This window comes from Homo sapiens, chromosome 13, assembly GCF_000001405.40.
Source record: "Homo sapiens chromosome 13, GRCh38.p14 Primary Assembly".
NCBI classification, from domain to species: Eukaryota; Metazoa; Chordata; class Mammalia; order Primates; family Hominidae; genus Homo; species Homo sapiens.
The window spans coordinates 100,085,742-100,106,185 of record NC_000013.11 but is presented as its reverse complement, the minus strand read 5'-3'; the positions used below and the strand labels follow the sequence as shown (position 1 = coordinate 100,106,185).

Below are 20,444 nucleotides of genomic sequence, written 5' to 3'. Positions count from 1 at the left end.
AAGGCTCCAAAAGACTGCAAGAAAGGCTCACCATAGGCAAAAAAAAACAATATTCTGCTTTGGCTAACCATACTGTCAGACTAAGCCATCAAGAATCCACCAGACAAGTGGCTGAACACAGAACTATTCATTTAGGGATCGGGCCCGAGTATTATCCTTAAAGGTAAAGAATTAAAGGCCAACTACATTATTACATTCTAATAGTACAAAGGCACAGAATTTCCCTAAAGCAATAGCCAATAACATATATTGACGAATACCACAAACTTCCTCAATGACAGCCCGTTTCTTTTTTTCCTTTTCTTTTCTTTTTTTTTTTTTTTTTTTTTTTTTTTTTTTTTGAGACAGGATCTTGCCCTTTAGCCTAGCAGTCTGGAGTACAGTGGTGCAATCATGGCTCACTGAAGCCCTGACCTCCTGGGCTCAAGTGATCCTCCCAACTTAGCTTCCTGTGTAGCTGGAACTACTGGTGCACGCCACCACACCCAGCTAATTTTTGTGGGGTGTTTTTTTTTTTTTTTTTTTTTTGGTAGAGACAGGGTTTCGCCAGGCTGGTCTCAAGTTCCTGACCTCAAGCAATCCACTGGCCTCAAACTCCCAAAGTGCTGGGATTACAGGCGTGGGCCATCACACCTGGCTGATAGCCCACTTCTAACAGTTATTACGCTAATGAGGAAGGCTACCAGTGTATAAGGAGAAAGATGGCTGAACCGTTTGTAGTATTCCACCCCTCTATAATGTGTCCTCTTCAACAAATGTTAGTTAATTACTCTTAAGAGTGTAGCCACTTAGGATAGCTGATTACTTCGAGATTGGAATGCAACACATGGATACATGAACCCCAAAGCATATCACCTATGATGAAGATTTTAAATTAAACTACAGCTTTCATAACAGGGAGTTTATCATAACTAATTCAATAGACCTGCACTATCCAATATAGTAGCCACTGGCCACATGAGGTTATTGGGCTCTTCAAATGTGGCTAATCAAACTGAGATATGCCAGAGGTATAAAATATACACTGGATTTAGAAGACTTAGGGCCCAAAAAAAAGAATCTAAGGTGTCTTGTTAATACTTTTTATACTGATTATGTACTTAAATAACATTTTAGATATTGAGATATTATTAATTTTGCCTGTTTACTTTTTTTTAATGTGGCTATTAGAAAATTGAAAATTGGCCAAGTGCAGTGGCTCATGCCTGTAATCCCAACACTTTGGGAGGCTGAGGCAGGAAGACATTTGAGGTCAGGAGTTCGAGACCAGCCTGCCCAACATGGTGAAACCCTGTCTCTACTAAAAATACAAAAATTAGCCGGGCATGGTGACGTACACCTGTAATCCCAGCTACTCGGGAGGCTGAGGCAAGAGAATTGCTTGAACCTGGGAGGTGGAGGTTGCAGTGAGCCAAGATCACACCACTGCACTACAGCCTGGGTGACAGAGCAAGACTCCATCTCAAAAATAAAAAATAAAAAGGAAAATTGAAAATCACATTTGCCCTGTGTATTAATTGGTTTTTACATTGCTATGAAGATACTACCCAAGACTAGGTAATTTATAAACAAAGGTTTAATTGACTCCCAGTTCCGCATGGCTGGGGAGACTTCAGGAAACTTACAATCATGGCAGAAGGAAAGCAGGACCCTTCTTCACAAGGCAGCAGGGGAGAGTAGTGCAAAGGAGGAACTTCCAAACACTTGTAAGATCTTAAGATCCTGTGAGAACCAACTCACTGTCATGAGAAAAACATGGAAGAAACTGCCCCCATGATCCAATCACCTCCCTCCCTCAACACATGGGGATTACAGGTCGAGATGAGATTTGGATGGGGACAGAGCCAAACCATATCACCCTGCAACTGTGTTTCACATTGTATTTCTACTGAACTGAAGATATGTAGACTCTTTCTTCCTCCAGGCCTCCAGATTCAAAAGAATCTGGAAAGCAGTATTGCGCACTTCAGCACATGATTCAGAAGATACCTCAGACATGTCATTCTCAAATAATCATTCCTGTCAGTTGTATTTTGATGACACTCACCTTGAACAATCCCTTCTTAACCAAAACTCCCGCCCACTTCGATGCCTTCATTGCCATGAAGGCATGAAACCATATTTTATTTCCAATCACTTCTTCTAGTCCCTACAAGGCTCAAACATTATTGTAATAGCATTTTAATTAGAAACCCCTTGTCCTGAAATTTATAATACACAAAATTACCTTCAATCTAAATGAATCATATAGGCCGGGCACAGTGGCTCACGCCTGTAATCCCAGCACTTTGGGAGCTCGAGGCAGGCGGATGACCTGAGGTCAGGAGTTTGAGACCAGCCTGGCCAACATGGTGAAACCCTGTCTCTACTACAAACACAAAAATTAGACGGGCGTGGTGGGGCGCACCTGTAATCCCAGCTACTCAGGAGGCTGAGACAGGAGAATCTCTTGAAGCCGGGAGGCGGAGGTTGCAGTGAGCTAAGATCACACCACTGTACTCCAGCCTGGGCAAAAGAGCAAGACTCCATCTCACAAATAAATAAATAAATAATATAAATATTAAGTAAATGAGGCCAGGTGCACGGTGGCTCATGCCTGAAATCCCAGCACTTTGGGAGGCTGAGGCAGGTGGATCACCTGAGGTCAGGAGTTCGAGACCATCCTGGCCAACATGGTGAAACCCCATCTCTACTAAAAATATAAATGTTAGCCAGGTGCAGTGGTGGGCGCCTGTAATCCCAGCTACTCAGGAGGCTGAGGTGGGAGAATTGTTTGAACCCCAGAGGCGTAGGTTGCAGTGAGCCTAGATCACACCACTGCACTCCAGCCTGGGTGATAGAGCATGACTCCATCTCAAAAAAAAAAAAAAGTATTAAGTAAATGAAAGAAAAACTCAATAGTTTAATTAAATCTCTCAAATGCCCAGTCTTTAAGAACAAATGTTTTCTTAGTTATTCTGCTGGAAACAAAGGAAACACATTGTAAATGCATTCAATTTTTGCTAAAGATATAAATACAAAATTAAAAAGATTCAGACTGTGGCCCACAATGAAAAACAGAATACCTAAAGACTGAGCACCTATAGAAACACACAATGCTAGAGTGATCAATGACCACACAGCCTTAACAAAATCTCATCTGTCCACTGAACACAGTGTGGAGACGAGAAAGTAAAACCATGATAAGTTTAATTTAGTTGTTGAGAATATCTTTTAAATACTTACTTTTTCATTAGGATCATATCCCACTGAACCAAGATTACGGGACACCATTAAGCACTGTCTTGAATAGTACAGAACATGCTACAAAAAAAGGAAAGCAAAATAAATTGCAAATACTTGATGGGCTTTAGAACATTTTTTCAGGATATTTCTTCCAGTTAGGTTCTAGCGAACGTGTCTGATCAATAAATGTAGTTCTAGGCAATATACCATAAATATAATTACAAAAGGGAAATCATATCTACAGACACAGCCCCTTGGTATGTAAGAGAAACCAAAAGCATCAAAACGATCTCCAGAAAAGCAAAACAAGAATTGTCGAGGGGCCAAGCAAATTTGAAGAAAGCCTTTCTGATCATTCAAAAGGATAGAGCAGGGTCAGAAATGTCACAGACCACACAGAACTTTTAAAAACACAAAACGAGAGTCTTGGTCTCAAGGAGCTTCAAATTTAACAGTGGCCAGAACATAATAAAATATTCTTTTTATATTTGCTGATGTCTTCAGCATGATTTCTTATTTCACATTTTCTGGTACAGAAGTGGTTTGGCTGATAAATATGAAAAAGCAATATCAGTAATCAAGGATATTTCTCATTCATTGAACTGTTTGTGAAGAAAGCGTATCTTAATGCTTAAAAACATTAAGAAAAGTGACTAAGCCAGGCACGGTGGTACAGCCTGGAATCCCAGCTACTCAGGAGGCAGAGGTGGGAGTATTACTTGAGCCCCAGAGTTTGAGGTGGCAGTGAGCCAAGATCACACCACTGTACTCCAGCCTAGGCAACAGAGCAAGACCCCACTGAAAAGAGAGAAAAGAAAGGAGAAAAAGAAAAGAGATAGAGAGATACAGAGAGACAGACAGAGACAGAGAGAGAACTTCCCAGTAGTCACTGTTAAAGCTAGAAGGAAAAAAATGGAGGAAAAAAACCAGCAAAAGGCAACCAACAGGTACCACCTCTTAGAACTTTCTAAGATGATAACGACTCAAATAAGAAACAAAATGTTCTTATAGCAACATTTTTAAATGAACTGAAAAATTTGTACAACTATTTTTTAAAGAGTCGGGCACCATGGCTCATGCCTGTAATCCTAGCACTTTGGGAGGTCAAGGCAGGTGGATCACCTGAGGTCAGGAGTTTGCGACCAGACTGGCCAAAATGGCGAAATCCCGTCTCTACTAAAAACACACACAAAAAAATTAGCGGGGCATGGTGGCACACACCTGTAGTCCCAGCTACTCAGGAGGCTGAGGTAGAATTGCTTGAACCCAGGAGGTGGAGGTTGCTGTGAGCCTAGATCCTGCCATTGCACTCCAGCCTGGGCAACAAGAGCGAAACTCCTCAGAAAAAATTAATTAATTATTTAATTAATTTAAAAAATGTAATCTCTGTATAAAAGTGGAGGTAAAAGATACAAAAAGATATAGTTTATAAAATAAAACCTTTACCAAGTAAAAGACCAAGAACAAGAAGGAACTGTGAACGGGAAATTATTACTGTGTCCCTATTAAAGATCAAGACTATCTCTCATATATTCCTTCAAGCATAACTGTGAGTTACAAGAGTATTATCCCCAATTTTATGACAAAGTTGAGTCCCAAGGACTTTAACTTTTCAAAGGTCACAGGCTGAGGCTGTAATGGTTATAAGATTTAACCACAGATTGGTCAAGAGCTTTCTGAAATTTTTTATTTCTAGATAAGAAAAACAGTGGCAATTCCCAGATAAACACTAATATCTACTCAAAGATATGATATTGTTCCACAGAGCTTGCACACATGTGAACTTGTAATAATGTGGCCTAAAGCTGTAAAAAGCATAGATGCCTCCCGGTTACCCAGTAACTAGAAGTAGAACTCGGGCCGGGCACGGTGGCTCATGCCTGTAATCCCAACACTTTGGGAGGCTGAGGCGGGCAGATCACTTGAGGTTGGGAGTTCGAGACCAGCCTGACCAACATGGAGAAACCCCATCTCTACTAAAAATACAAAATTAGCTGGGCATGGTGGTGCATGCCCGTAATCCCAGCTACTCGGATGGCTGAGGCAGGAGAATCGCTTGAACCCGGGAGGCGGAGGTTGCAGTGAGCCGAGGTTGCAGTGAGCCAAGTTTGTACCGTTGCACTCCAGCCTGGGCAAAAAGAGCGAAACACTGTCTCAACAAAAAAAAAAAAAAGAAGAAGTAGAACTCGTACAAGCAAACACAACTATAACAGAACAACTACCAATGTGAACCATTCCCACGACAAGTCTGAACTGGTTTGGAATGAGCCCCATAAAGGCTCTGTTCCTGTTTCCTCCTGGGAGACATTCATGGAAGGTCAAAAATGAAGAATCAGGTCAACACTCAGACCATTTGTGTAAAGCCACAACATAAAGTTTATTTTCTAAATGAAGGAAAACGTTTGAAGAAGTCTGCTAATTTGGACCTCTACACAGAATTTTAACGTTTGTTGTTTTTGTTAAGCATGTAACAAACTGGCTACACGCCCAGTCCAAAATTCTTTGTAAGGTATTTCCTAGCAACAAAGGTTCTGAGAAAGAACTTTAATCAATTCTGTTTATAAAGGCTAGCCAATCACAGCCAAAATGAGAGAGGTCAGCGTGTGCAAAATGACTCCCCAGTAACATATTGCCACTGGTTCTCTCCCACAGGAATAATGATTTCCTGTATTTTCCACACATAGAAAAGAAATGCCTGAAAATGGCTTGGCACATAGGAAGTGGCATTGACCCTCAGAGTCACAAGACTTGGGTCAACTCTCAGCTGTGAGTCATTGAGCTAATCATTTCTCTGGGCCCCCGTTTCCATCTACAAAATGTAGGTGATGACACCTCCCTGATTTCCTAGGGAGTTATTAAAAGGATCAAATGAGTTTTTATAAACAGTAAAGTGCCAAAAAATGTAAGGTTTTACATGAAAACTAAATCCAAATATGTAACTGTCACCTTCTTTCTTAAAATTATACCAGAACCACTTGGGAATTACCATTAGAGAATAATATAGTCAATAAGAGTTCTGGTCTAGACTCAGATTCTGACCTGGATTCAAATCTTGGCTCTGACATTTCCTAGATATATAGAAAGTTTCTTCATTTGTACACTGGGGATAATAATAGTACTTATCTAGGTCATAATGCTGCTATGAGGATTAAATGAGAATGTCTAACATGGCTAGCACAGTCTTGCATATATTATCATCAGCACACAATAACTTACACAAAAAGCGGGGGAAATGGTAGGCTTTTAGACAAACTGGATGCATGCCTTCCAGCCACTGCAAACAGGGAAACAAATCCTGTTTGCAGTGGCTGGAAAAAAATCCTTTCTTAAGATTAGATAGCACCAGCTGGGCACAGTGGCTCACGCCTGTAATCCCAGCACTTTGAGAGGCCGAGGCAGGTGGATCACAAGGTCAGGAGATTGAGACCATCCTGGCTAACACAGTGAAACCCTGTCTCTACGAAAAATACAAAAAATTAGCCGGGTGTGGTGGCAGGCGCCTGTAGTCCCAGCTACTCGGGAGACTGAGGCGGGAGAATGGCGTGAACCCGGGAGGCAGAGGTTGTAGTGAGCCGAGATCACGCCACTGCACTCCAGTCTGGGTGACAGAGCAAGACTCCATCTCAAAAAAAAAAAAAAAAAAAAGATTAGATAGCACCTACTTTCATAAGCAAGATGTGGCCTCACGTGGCAGTTAAAACTGGTAAATCCACTGGCAAATATCTTAAAGAACAATCTGAACACTATTTCTGCCAAAACCAAAACTACTGTTGTTAACATACCCGCAGTAGCATTCAGATGAATAATACTAAATAACTCATTATGAGATAAATTCATTATCAGAATGCATTCTGCTTCAAAGAAGAAACTATCCTCAAAACTGGGTTAATGGAGCTATAAAATGATCTCACCAAGGTCAAAGTAAACATTAGTTTACTTCATCTTGCTTCATCTCTAAAATTCCAGGTGAAGGTCTTATCCATGTATTATGACACGGTATTTCATCATGCATTGTAACAGAGCCCATGCCCTTCTCTGAAGACACTTAATTAGGTCTGGCTTTTTCCTGGAAGCACAGCTTTTCTTTCAAATAGACTATTTAGTCTTCAGGATCTTAGAGACCATTCCAATCTTCAGTGTCTGCCAAAAGCCAAGTTGAACACCTAATATTTGAGAGAGATGTTCAAGACTCAAGATTCTCTGGGCTCTGCCTCTGTACTAAGCTCAAGCACCAGGAAACTATACATGTCAACTCTAGAGCTCCATCATCCCACCCTTGACTCTTCCGCCAGGCCATTCTTCCCCATCCCGCTGTAGCAGATGTTGTCAGTGGCCACTCAGATCCTCTCTAACTGCTGTGTTGACAACTAACGGCTCACACCTGCACCCTCATCTCGACCATGTTCCTCAACTATACAGCTCTCCATCAAGCCTGAGAGCTCCCCCGACCCTGCCTGGCCAAGGGCTGACTAACACTGCATTCAAAAGGCCAGTCCCAGCACCTCAAGGTGGGACTTGATTAGTAGCACAATCTGTGCCCTAGAGCTGTTCCATCCAATATGGCAGCCACGAGCCACATTCAGATGTGCTCTAAGAGTAAACTACACACTGGATTTTGAAAACTTAGTACCCAGAAAATGTAAAAGACCTCATTAGTGAATTTTTACATTTACATATTCAAATAATACTTTGAATATTTGAATATATTAAGTAAAATATATTAATTTCACCTTATTTTACTTTTTTTGTTTTTTTAAGAGATGGGGGTCTCACTATGTTTGCCCAGGCTGGACTGCAGTGACTACTCACAGGCACAATTATAGCCCATGGCAGCCTCTAACTCCTAGGCTTAAATGATCTTCCCACCTCAGCCTCCTAAGTAGCTGAGACTACACATCCCTGCCACCACACCTAGCTTCATTGTACTTTTTTTTTTTGAGACAGGATCTCACTATGTTGCCCAGACTGAAGTGTAGTGATAGGATCATAGCTCACTGCAGCCTTGAACTCCTGCATTCAAGCAATCCTCCCACCTCAGCCTCCTGAATAGCTGGGACTATGGATGCATGTCACCATGCCCCACTAATTTTTTTATTTTTTGTAGAGACTGGGCGGCTGGGGGGTTCTCACTATTTTCCCCAGGCTGGTCTTGAACTGCTGGCCTCAAGTGATCCTCCCACCTTGGCCTCTTTGCTTTACTTTGTTAACATAAGTATTCGAAGATTTGTGTTTGTTTGTTTTTTGAGACGGAGTCTCACTCTGTCGCCAGGCTGGAGTGCAGTGGTGCCATCTTGGCTCACTGCAACCTCTGCCTCCCAGGTTCAAGCAATTCTCCCGTCTCAGCCTCCCGAGTAGCTGGGATTACAGGCATGTGCCACCATGCCTGGCTAATTTTGTATTTTTAGTAGAGATGGGGTTTCTTCATGTTGGTCAGGCTGGTCTCGAACTCCCGACCTCAGGTGATCCACCTGCCTCGGCCTCCCAAAGTGCTGGGATTACAGGTGTGAGCCACTGCACCCGGACCATTCTTTTATTTTTTAATTGAGATGTAATTCACATACCATAAAATTCACCCTTTTAAAAAAGTATACAACTCCGTGGTTTTTAGTATATCCACAAGGCATGGAACCATGATGGCTACTGATTCCAGGACATTTTTTATCACCCCAAAAAGACAACCCTTAACTATTCGCAGTCACTCCCATCCCCTCTCCTCCAGGCCCTGGGCAACCACTAATCTACTTTCTGTCTTCATGGATCAGTCTATTCTGGAGACTGCATATAAACACAAAATCACACAATAGCGACCTTGTGTGTCTACCCTTCAAAAGTCACTCTTAATTCCTTCCTTTCCCTGTTTGTACATACCTTACAGATACTGTAGGTTCAGGTCCAATTAATTATTGTTCAAAACAGTTATTGCTCAAAAATGCTAACAATCATCTGATCCTTCACCATGTTAGCCAGAATGGTCTCAATCTCTTGACCTTGTGATCCACTCGCCTCGGCCTCCCAAAGTACTGGGATTACAGGTGTGAACCACTGCGCCCGGCCTCACTTCTTTTCTTAAACCCCATGAACCAACCTCTGCTTCCAAGTTTTCTTCTGCAGCATCCTCACCTCTCTCAGCCTTCGCAGAACTGAAGCGAGGACCTTGCGCTGGATTAGGCTATGGCTTAAGGAAATGTTGTGGCTGGTTTGATCTTCTATCCAAACCACTAAAGCTTTCGCCATATCAGCAATAAAGCTGTTTCACTTTTTTTAATCAGTTGTGCGCTCACTGGAGTAGCACTTCTAATTTCCTTCCAGAACTTTTCCTTTGCATTTACAATTTGGCACAAGAGGCCCAACTTTCAGTCTATCTTGGCTTTTGACAGGCCTTCCTCACTAAGCTTAATGATTTCTAGTTTTTGATTCAAAGTGAGAGATGTGTGACTCTTCCTTTCACTAGAACGCTTAGAAGATTATTAATTGGCCTAATTTCAATATTGTTGTATCTCAGAGAATTAGGGAAGCCTGAGGAGAGGGAGAGACATAGGGGAATAACTGCTTGGAGAAGTCAAAACTCACACATTTATCAATTATGTTTCTCCAACTTATATGGGCGTGGTTCACGGCACCCCAAAATATTTACAATAAGAATATCGAAGATCACTGATCACAGATCACCATAACAGACATAGTAATAATGAAAAAATTATCAAAATGTTTCACAGAGACACCAAGTAAGTATGTGCTATTGGAAAGATGACACCAATACAGTTGCTCAAAGCAGGGTTGCCACAAACCCTCAATCTGTAAAAACAACAAAAAAAAAGCAGTATCTGCAGGGTCAATAAAGCCAAGATATGAGGTACATCTGTATCTGCCTTCAAACCCCACAGCAAGATACTGGCTCTAGCTCCAAAATACATTCCAAGTCTGACCAGTTCTCAGCAACTCCAGTGCCCTAGCACAAGTTACCATCATCTCTAGCTTGGTCTTCTACAACAGCTTCCTGATGGGTCTCTCTGTTTCCACTCTTCCCACCCCAGTCCCCAATCCTACTCCCACCCCTACTAAGACATTCGCTACGTACTAGTCACAAACGTCTTTTCCAAACATAAATTCAATGTGCTTAAATGCCTCCAACTGGACTCTCATTACTAAATTCCAAATACAAGCCCCTGATGACTCTGTCCCGCCTACCCACTCCTCCTCCCTCATCTCCTAAGATCACCCCCTCATTCAGTTCACTCCAACCACAGCAGCCACATTCATCCCTTAATTATGCCAAATGCAATCTCCCCTCAGAGCTTTTGCCCTGGCACTCCTTGGTCTGCAATGCTAGGCCCCCATATAGTCACATGGCTGGCTGGCTCAGTTTCCTGTCCAAATGCCACATGCTCAGAAATGTCCCCCATGGTCTCATTAGGTAACATCCCCAACTCAGCACCACTACCACTCTCTATCCCATTAACCTATCTTTTTCCTTCGAGAGCACTTCTCACTCTCTGAACTTTTCTATTTATACGAGCACAGTCTCCTTACTCAAATGTAACCACAATGGGAGCAGAAACAGTCACAATTATATTCCCAGCTCTAAGTAGTGTCTGACACATACTACGTGTAGGTGAATTGAACGATAGCCCCTAAAATGATGTGTCCACGTCCTGGAACCTGTGATAAAGTGTCTTTGCCAATACAACAAAGTGAAGGATCTTGAGATGAAATCATCCTAGATCTTGTCATGGCCCTAAATCCAATGAAAAGTGTCTTTATAAAAGAATGAGAGGGAAAGACGCACAAGAAGGAGGAGGAGAAGGCAGCCATGTGAAGACAGAGGCAGAGACTGGAGTGATGCAGCCACAAGCCAAGGAATGAATGCAGCCACCAGAAGCTCAAAGAGGCAAGAAAGGATTCTCCCCTAGAGCCTTCAGGCGAAGCATGGCCCTGCTCATGCCTTGATTTCAGACTTCAGGCCTTTAGTACTGTGGGAGAATGAATTTGTTGTTTTAAGCCACCAGGTCCATGGTCATTTGTACAGCAGCTCTAGGAAACCAAAGGTTTCTTGAATAAATAATACCAAAGAGAGGGCAGGCACGGTGGCTCACATCTGTAATCCCAGCACTTTGGGAGGCCGAGGCAGGCGGATCAATTGAGGTCAAGAGTTCAAGACCAGCCAGGCCGACATGGTGAAACCCCGTCTCTACTAAAAATATAAAAATTAGCTGGGCATGGTGGCACATGCCTGTAATCCCAGCTACTCAGGAGGCTGAGGCAGGAGAATCACTTGAACCCCGGAGGCGGAGGTTGCCGTGAGCGGAGATCACACCACTGAACTCCAGCCTGGACAACATGAGACTCTATCTCAAAAACAAACAAACAATACCAAAGAGAGTATGCCACATGGATGCTGTATTAGGTTTTGTGAATGAAATCACAAAACTGTATCTTCCAACATTCTTTAAATTCACTTTTATTTTGATCTTATTAGGTTGATCCCATCAGTTTGTGGGGTTTTTTCTAACGAAAATGTCAATAGGCATTTAAAATAAAGAAACTAATTTTTGAAAGTTATGCAATATGCTTATCTTTCAAAAAATATAATTTTGCTTCAACTATTCAAGAGTGTTGTCAAAAGCAGTATTTTTTGTATATAACACTTTACCATGCTACTAAAATTATTCTCATTAAAGATCAAAGATCTTTTCAAATTCTTTCACCAATCTTTTTTTTTTTTTTTTTTTTTTGAGACAGATTTTCGCTCTTGTTGCCCAGGCTGGAGTGCAGTGGTGCAATCTCGGCTCACTGCAACCTCCACCTCCTGGGTTCAAGTGATTCTCCTGCCTCAGCCTCCCAAGTAGCTGAGATTACAGGCATGCGCCACCATGCCCGGCTAATTTTGTATTTTTAGTAGAGACGGGATTTCTCCATGTTGGTCAGGCTGGTCTTGAACTCCCGACCTCAGGTGATCTGCCTGCCTCGGCCTCCCAAAGTGCTGGGATTACAGGCATGAGCCATCGTGCCCAGACTTTTTTTTGAGACAGGGTCTTGCTGTGTCACCCAGGCTGTAGTACATTGGTGTGATCACAGCTCACTGCAGCCTTGACCTCCTGGGCTCAAGTGATCCTCCCTCCTCAGCCTCCCAAGTACCTAGAACCACAGGCACGTGCCACCACACCCAGCTAATTTTTATTTTATTTTATTTTATTTTGTAGAGATAGCCGGGGGTGGGGGTGGTATCATTATGTTGCCTAGGCTGGTCTCAAACTCCTGAGCTCAAGAAATCCTCCCACTTTGGCCTCCCAAAGGGTTGAGATTGCAGGCGTGAGCTACCACACCTGGCCTCATCAATCTTTTATTCCTTAGCCTCTCTGCACCTGGGACATAGTTAGGGAATATGTTTTAATTTCTTTTTCTCTCCTCTGTACGTGCCATAGTACCTGGAACTTAGAAAATGCTCCACAAACACTTTCTGAGTAAAGAGCTAGATCTCTAGACAAATGAATGAATGAATGCTAACTACTTCTTGAAATTTCTTTCCTAGGTTTGGTAACACTACACTACATTGGCTCCTCTCAAACCATACCTCTAACTCCTCTTGTCTCTTCTTCCTTCTTCCAAATCCTAATTTAGGGTTATAAAACGAAGCATTTATTCAATTAAATATTAACTGACTCACTATATCCGTCAGGGCTCACAGTTCTAACTCTAACTCTAGCCTCGTATCCCTGGCCCAAAAGCCAGCCACTGATACCCAGCACCTCAGCATGGCTCCTGCGGGCATCTAACTCCAGATACCTACAATGAAACACTATGTTTCCAGCCCCACCAAAAAAGTGTTTCTTCCCAAATTCCTTTTTCATCCTTGTTCTCCCACCTACATTTTTTAAAGTTTGGAATCATTTAAACAAATCCTTTTCCCTCACTCTTCATCAAAAATGTCACATCTTTTCCTCTTAGAAAAGGACTAGAGCAGTTTTTACCTCTGTTCTGAACCTCTCAGGAACAGAATAAAATCCAAATGGTAGATGTATAAATATATAAATGTCTATAAACATTTTTTTACACCAGAAACTAGTTTCTGTAATAATCTCAGAAATTTCTTTTCCCAAATGATTTGTCAGAAATTTATCAGCATGTTGGAAACATTAACCTCCAGGCAATTCTAAAGCATTCATATAAGCCTAAACATTCTTTTCCATATTTACTGATTACAAAAGAAAATAATGGATGTCAAGTAACACAGGGCTTAAACATTCAAATTTCATGAATGCATCACACAATGAGACCATGATTCAAATGAGACAATTTGTAATTAGAAAAGCAAGCTGAGGTGGGTGGATTGCTTGAGTTCAGGAGTTTGAGACCAGCCTGGGCAACATAGCAAAACCCCATCTCTACAAAAAATAAAAATTAAAATTAAAAAATAGCCAGGTGTGGTCGTACGTGCCTGTGGTCCCACCTACTTGGGAGGCTGAGATGGGAGGATGGCTTGAGCCCAGGAGGCAGAGGCTGCAGTAGGCCAAGATCATGCCACTGCACTCCAGCCTGGCCAACAGAGCCAGACCCCATCTCAAAAAAAAAAAAGGAAGAAAGAAAAGAAAGCCTTCAGAATCATATTATCTAAGGTTCAAATTCTACTTCAGCCAATTGTGCTTTTAAGCAACTACTTAACTGCCCTGAGCTTTGTTTCCTCTACTGTAAAATTGGGATTTTTTACCTAGTTGTTATAAGGATAAAAGATATATGAAAAATCACACCATTGGGCTCGGTGGCTCATGCCTGTAATTCCAAGCACTTTGGGAGGCCAAGGCAGTGGATCAAGAGGTCAGAAGATCGAGGTGGCCAACATGGTGAAACCCCATCTCTACTAAAATACAAAAAAAAATTAGCCGGTGGTGGTGGCGTGCGCCTGTAGTCCCAGCCACTTGGGAGGCTGAGGCAAGGGAATCACTTGAACCCAGGAGGTGGAGGTTACAGTGAGCTGAGATCGCGCCACTGCACTCCAGCCTGGCAACAGAGCGAGACCCCATCTCAAAAAAAAAGAAAAGCAAAGAAAAATCATGCAAGGCATATAAGAGTTCAATAATAACTATAGCAATTACCATAAAACCAACATCCTAGAGCCACTGAAAACATTTACGCAGAAGAAAAAACTAGGCATTAAAACAGAATGTGCTTAAAAAGCTGATACACAAAACAAATAAGACTAAAAGGTGAACTCTACATATACCCTAAAAATAAATAAACTCTGTTGACTGGCTAAAAGAATGGTCAGAATTCTCTAGACTAGACCCTAGAGTTAGCTGGCTGCTTTTCAACCAACCAAAAGGTTTGCAGAGGTGGAGGGAGGGATGGGAGGGGTTAAAATCTTCAAAAGATTCAGCTTCAAACAGACTCAGTAGAGCATATTTCAAGTTCATAGAAGAGAAGCGCAGAGAGAAGCTAAGCAGCAGCTCAAGTTCCCCTAGAGTGATAGTGAACTTCAGAGATGCTTCCCACCCCAAGGAGGAATTCTTTACCGGCACAAACATAATGCTACTCTATTGTTACACATTCAGCACCTATTGTGTCAAACATTGTACTAAGAACACAGAAATAGACAAGATGCAGTCTCTGCCAACACATTAAAAGGAAAAAACCAGGTAAGAATCATCAAAGCGTATGTATTACACAGTAAGTGTATAACAAGTGTACAACAGTAAGTACAGTAACAGCCTTCCTCTCAGCCTCTCCAATCTAAAATGTCAGTGTCATCCCTCCCACCTCCAACATCAATGTCTTCCCACTGCTCTAAGACAAACACCAAACCTCATAATGTGATCTATAAGAGCCAGATGGTCTGACTCCTGCCAGCTTCCCCAACACCATCTACTCTCTGCATCAGAGCCTCTGTAGGCTTTTTTCAGTTCTTCTAACCTGTCATTCCCTCTGGCCACAGGACCTTTGCATACACTGCTCTCTCACCTATAACATTCATCTCTGTTTGTTAGAAAAGGTCACTTCATCCTTCAAAACTTGTCTCAATTTTCAGTTCCAAAGGAAAACACTCCCTTACCGTAGATAGCATAGTATGATTAAGAGCACAGGTTCTGGAGTTCTAAATCCTGTTTGCCACTTATTGGCACTATAGCTTCGAGCAAGTCACATTAACACTCAGTGCCTCACTTTCATCTTCTGTAAATGGGGGACATACGACTGTTGTGAGATTGAATAAATTAGTTCAAGCAAAGCAACAGAACAGTATCTAGAACACAGAATTCAAAATCTTGGCTTGGTCAAATCCCTCTATTTTATTTTCTTATAGCACCCGGGCATCTCCCCTAATACCATTTTACACTTGTTACAGTCTCCCTACTAGAGTAAAATTTCTAAGAAAGCAGAAACCATATTCATTCCCCAGAAGTGGAAGACAGGAGATATTCAGTAAATATTTGTTGAAAAAAATAGCTACAAGGACGAAGCTGACGCCCAAGGAAGAGACCTGTCCAATATACAAAGCCTCATGCGCCTGACCCCAAAGCCCACACTTTACACCATACTAACTTGCCTCCTATGTAAATGCATAAGTCTTACAGCTGCAATTGAAGTGGCCAACACAGATGAACAGAATGATAAAGATTAAAGAACACTAAACTGTATGGGAACACAGAAAACAGTGAAAGTCCGCACGCTGAATTGGACACAAAACAAACATAGGTGCCACTCACTTCCATGTCGATAAGCTCCAGCTCTCATACTGCCCACCTGGGGCTCGGTTCCCTCCTCTTTAAAGAGTAGGATGGGGCAGGTCGTCTCTAAAGTGTCTTCAACGTCTAAAATTAAATGACTATAAATCAAGTTATGTGGCAATGTTTTAATAATTATTTTTTAAAAGGAAGTTTAACAAGCACACTGAACCAGCTGACAGATGGTTTTCAGGGGACCTTCATTTTAAAGAATGTGTTCAAGTGCCTCAACAAACCTTATAAAGTAGGTTAGGTGGTCTGTGCCCCAGAATTAACGACAGACTCGACATTGACTGGAGACAGAGCTCAGAAGCACACACAAGCACTCCAACCTGTTTGTCAATCTGCCATCATGACAGCCTAGGTATACAGAACAGTCATGAAATGTGTTTAGAACAGTGCCAAAATCAGGCTCACCACTATACCGAAAAGGAAAGTAAGTTCACGGGATGCATTTGGTACACAGTAGACTGGGGTGTCATACAATTAAAACAGGCTTTCAAATGAAACGTAAAATCTATTGGCAGTCCTGACATGGTATAATACTTTAAAAGATAAGACAAACTCACAACCCTAACACTACTTAAGCAACAGTTCACAGTGTCCCTTCAAAAATGCTGGAAAGAGGCAACAGAACACGGAAACTATAAGGACACCTAAAAAGACACCCTGGAAAGCTTAAGACAAAGCCAATGCCGCGGGGCCCTGGAAGCAGACCTCGAGCAATATGCCTGCCCAAAGCCATCAGCCGCCTCGGAGGGCGTGCGGGCACCCAACTGCCTCTGCCCTAGGCCTCTCTGCTCCGCAGGATCCCCGCGAGGAACAGCTGCAACGAGGGATGCCTCCTGAGCCCGCTGCCACGCGAACTCCGGGAGGGAGGAAAGCAAGCGGTGTAGCTGATGCGGAACCGGGGCGCGGGGGCAGCCGGACCCAGCCAGCGCTCTCCCGGCGCCAGCCGCCCAGAGGCGGCACGGCTAGAAGCCCAGTGAAGCCCGGACCCGCGAGGCCCCGTTGCTCCTCACCTTCAGGGTCCGCAGCGCCGCGCTCAGCATCAGCTGCTGCGGCGGCCACCGCCCACGCCGTCCGGCAGCGACCAGCGGTGCTGTCCCGACCCAGAACCCCGCCATTGTTGTCCCCGCAGACCGCCCCTCTGCTGACCTCTCACACAGCCGGAGGGGGTGGAGAAGGGGAGCGCAGGAGCTCCGGCAAATCACGAGCCAGAAACCCGATGCCCCGCCCCCTAACTTGCGGAAAGGGGAGGGTGAGTGGTCGGCCAGATCCGCCGGATCCGGGATCCGGGAGTCGCGCTAGGACCTGGAGGGCTAGTCGGCGGGCTGCGCGTCCGGCCGCTAGCTGAGCTGGAGGCCACCGGCCAGAGCCGACCCCAGGAGTGAGAGAGACAGGGGCGTGCGTGAGTTCCGGCGGCCTGCACCGGGCAAACCCCGTACCTTCCCAGCATCGGCTCAGCAACCCACGTGCATCCAGGCCGGTCAATGTCATTGAGTCACCTCCGCGCCTTGGCCACCCTGGAGTCCCGAGAATCCGAAGTTCCAGACAAATGCCCAAACTACATTCCTGCATGTTCGAAAGCGTAAATTGCAAAGCACAAATCCAGGTAAGGTTTTTAACGACTGTAATAACACATAAAAAGTTCTAGGTCTGGAAATCAGAGATCCGAGCTCAAGTCCTACCTCTGGCACTTAATATGTGTGTGTGAAAGAAATTAGCCACAACTAGAGTCAGTCTTTGTTGCTCGCAAGCAGAAACCCTTGTTAGTACAACTACTGGCCAGGCGCAGTGGCTCACGCCTGTAATCCCAGCACTCTGGGAGGCCGAGGCGGGAGGATAACCTGAGGTCAGGAGTTGGAGACCAGCCTGGACAACATGCCGAAACCCCGTCTCTACTAAAAAATACAAAAATTAGCTGGGCGTGGTGGCGCACTCCTGTAATCCCAGTTACTCGGGAGGAGGCTGAGGCAGGAGAATTGCTTGAACCCTGGAGGTGGAGGTTGCAGTGAGCCGGATCATGCCACTACACTCCAGCCTGGGTGACAGAGCAAACTCCGTTTCGAAAAATAAAATAAAAATTAGTACAACTATTAAGGGCCGGGCCGTGTGCTAGAGCCTCAGATTCCCTCTTACTTGAGAGTTTACAAGAACCTTAATGGAGTATATATTATTTCCATTTGGAGAAACTGAAGCTGTAGCAGGGTAAAGTCACTCAGCGAGTAAAAGGTCAAACTAGGGTTTGAACCCAAATCTGGCTGCCTTGAGGGACTGGGCTCATGTTTTGCTATATTATGGAAATTTTAAAATATATACAAAAGAGATAAAATTGTACTATGATCACCCAGATACCCATTACACCGCGTCAATGAATCAACATTTTGTCAATCTTGTTTCATCTATTCCCCTTTTTATTTTGTGCAGGAATATTTTAAAGCAAATCTAAGACATCAGACCACCTCACCTATAAACACATCAGTATTGGGGGTTCTCCTCTTAACTACTTTGCATCTCCTGCAGAGTCACCTTGAGAGAGTTACAAAGCTAGGAATGGCCTAGAGTACACTACAGCATGGTAAATGCCCAAAGAGAGAGAAATAAAATGGGGATATCAGAAAGGTGACATTTAATGGAATTTTAGAATGTAAGTAGGGACTTTTGTGACAAAATGAAAAGGATTATCAATTTTACAGGACTTCTCACTTATGTACCTCAGTCTTCATTCATTTTCTACCTGGGAAACTTGCTTTTCTTTTTTCTTTTGTTTTTTGTCTTTTCCCCATGTTTTACCCTTTGGATTAGTTTTCCTTAGGCCCTGTTTGTTTTTCTTATAGGAGTTCTTTTTATGAAAGGCACTTGTAGCAGAAACTGCTTCTCATGCTATCCATTCTCCATGCATTACTTTAGTAAGAGTGCCCCTGAGATCTAGCTGGGTACATGGCCACCCAGCGAAAGGCTGCAATAGCTAGCCTCCCTTACAACGAGGTGTAGCGCCATGACTAAGGTCTGGAATGTAAGGACTGTGCCCTCCATGCCCTCTTCTTTCTTACCTAAACAAAGATCTACATTTCCCAACTCCCACTGCAGCAAGGGTGCTTACCAAGATTTGGTTACTAAGTTTTGGCCAATGGGACATAAGCACAAGTGACATAGACAACTTTTGGGTTATACCTTTAAAGGGAAAGGCTTGCTTTCCACTTGCCCTTCTCCTCTTTCCAGTTTGCCAGAATGTGGACACTACAGTGGAGGTAAAGTTGTCATCTCAGATGATAAGAAGGAAGTTAGGTGATCGGGGAGACAAAACAATATACCAGGAGCCTTTAGTGCCTGATTCTGTGGAGCCGCCACGTCAACCCTGGAGTGCTTTGTTCAGATTTTTATGCAAGCAAGAAAAATACTGTATCTTGTTTAAGTTATTGCATTGTGTTTTTTTGTTTTGCCTTTGTTACAGCAGCTACATGTGTGTCCTTACTGATAGAGGACTAATATTTATCTTTGCCTTTTCCATTTGAAGTTGTAGATTGTGGCCGGGAGCAGTGGCTCACGCCTATAATCCCAGCACTTTGGGAGGCCGAGGCGGACAGATCACGAGGTCAGCACTTCGAGACCAGCATGGCCAACATGGTGAAGCCCCATCTCTACTAAAAATACAAACATTAGCCAGGCATGGTGGTAGGCCCCTGTAATCCCAGCTACTCGGTAGGCTGAGGCAGGAGAATCACTTGAACCCGGGAGGCAGAGGTTTCAGTGAGCTGAGACTGCACCATTGCACTCCAGCCTGGGCGACAGACCAAGACTCCATCTCAAAAAAAAAAAAAAAAAAGTTATAGATTGTAAGGAAAATACCCCCAAGGAAGTTGAGGACACAGCAGACTTGGACTGTCTCCAAACCTGTTCATTCTTCTGAGTGCACTGCTCGGAGCATCCTATTGGGCAGCATATCCTGGCCTCCTTTCCAGTTCGATGTGGTACTATACCTGATTTCTGGCCAATAAAATATGAGAGGACATGAAATTCAACAGCCCCTGGGCTTGGCTTATAAAACCTTCCATGCAATCCTCCACACCTTTTCACCTCTCAGCTGCTGAGACTTTTCTAGGCACTACACAGAAGCAGCCTGGGTCTCCAGTAGCAAAGGAGAGCAGATCCTTCTCACTATCCTGCACCGAACTGTGACATGAGCAAAAAATAAAGTTTTTATTTTCTTACACCATTGAGATTTGAGGATTGCTAGAGCAGTTAGTCTTCCCAGCCTAATACAGTATTAGTAGAGGACAATTAGGCCAGACACAGTAGCTTATGCCTATAATCACAGCAGTTTATAAGGCCGAGGTGGGCAGATCACCTGATGTCAGGAGTTTGAGACCAGCCTGGCCGACATGGTGAAACCCCAGCTCTACAAAAAATACGAAAATTAGCCAAACATGGTGGCACGTGCCTGTGATCCCAGCTACTCAGGAAGCTGAGGCAGGAAAATCTTCAAGCCAGGAGGCGGAGGTT

The 20,444-nt window shown here is 43.5% G+C and overlaps 1 protein-coding gene and 1 long non-coding RNA gene across 34 annotated transcripts in view, besides 4 other annotated features; one reads left to right on the top strand and one right to left on the bottom strand.

The window, feature by feature from the left end:
- PCCA (propionyl-CoA carboxylase subunit alpha) overlaps positions 1–17,093 on the bottom strand; it is a 441,343-nt gene extending 424,250 nt beyond the window's left edge. For 22 of the 33 annotated variants that reach the window (NR_148030.2, NR_148027.2, NR_148028.2 and 19 more), the window contains exons 1-2: positions 16,961–17,093; positions 3,226–3,303 (exon numbers count right to left, since the gene is read on the bottom strand). Coding sequence is in view for 24 of the 33 variants with exons in the window: in XM_017020613.2 (XP_016876102.1) it covers positions 3,226–3,303; positions 16,961–17,065 (183 nt within the window). In the remaining 9 variants the exon portion in view is untranslated. Of the gene's footprint in view, positions 1–3,225; positions 3,304–15,920 lie in introns of all 33 variants that reach the window. The other 11 variants (NR_148029.2, NM_001127692.3, NM_001352607.2 and 8 more) reach the window with 2 other exon arrangements.
- Positions 5,737–6,031: an enhancer, noted in NCBI's record as "tiled region #14306; HepG2 Activating DNase unmatched - State 6:EnhF". NCBI's record gives its function as "activates a minimal TATA promoter and a strong SV40 promoter by Sharpr-MPRA in HepG2 cells {active_cell/tissue: HepG2}" and the evidence as "EXISTENCE:reporter gene assay evidence [ECO:0000049][PMID:27701403]".
- Positions 16,764–16,943: a silencer, noted in NCBI's record as "silent region_5476". NCBI's record gives its function as "represses an Ori minimal core promoter by ATAC-STARR-seq in GM12878 lymphoblastoid cells {active_cell/tissue: GM12878}" and the evidence as "EXISTENCE:reporter gene assay evidence [ECO:0000049][PMID:35858748]".
- Positions 17,224–17,483: an enhancer, noted in NCBI's record as "active region_7959". NCBI's record gives its function as "activates an Ori minimal core promoter by ATAC-STARR-seq in GM12878 lymphoblastoid cells {active_cell/tissue: GM12878}" and the evidence as "EXISTENCE:reporter gene assay evidence [ECO:0000049][PMID:35858748]".
- PCCA-DT (PCCA divergent transcript) lies at positions 17,243–20,155 on the top strand. The gene is made up of 2 exons (NR_132422.1): positions 17,243–17,553; positions 19,459–20,155. It is a non-coding gene; the product is annotated as a PCCA divergent transcript (long non-coding RNA).
- Positions 17,514–17,563: an enhancer, noted in NCBI's record as "active region_7958". NCBI's record gives its function as "activates an Ori minimal core promoter by ATAC-STARR-seq in GM12878 lymphoblastoid cells {active_cell/tissue: GM12878}" and the evidence as "EXISTENCE:reporter gene assay evidence [ECO:0000049][PMID:35858748]".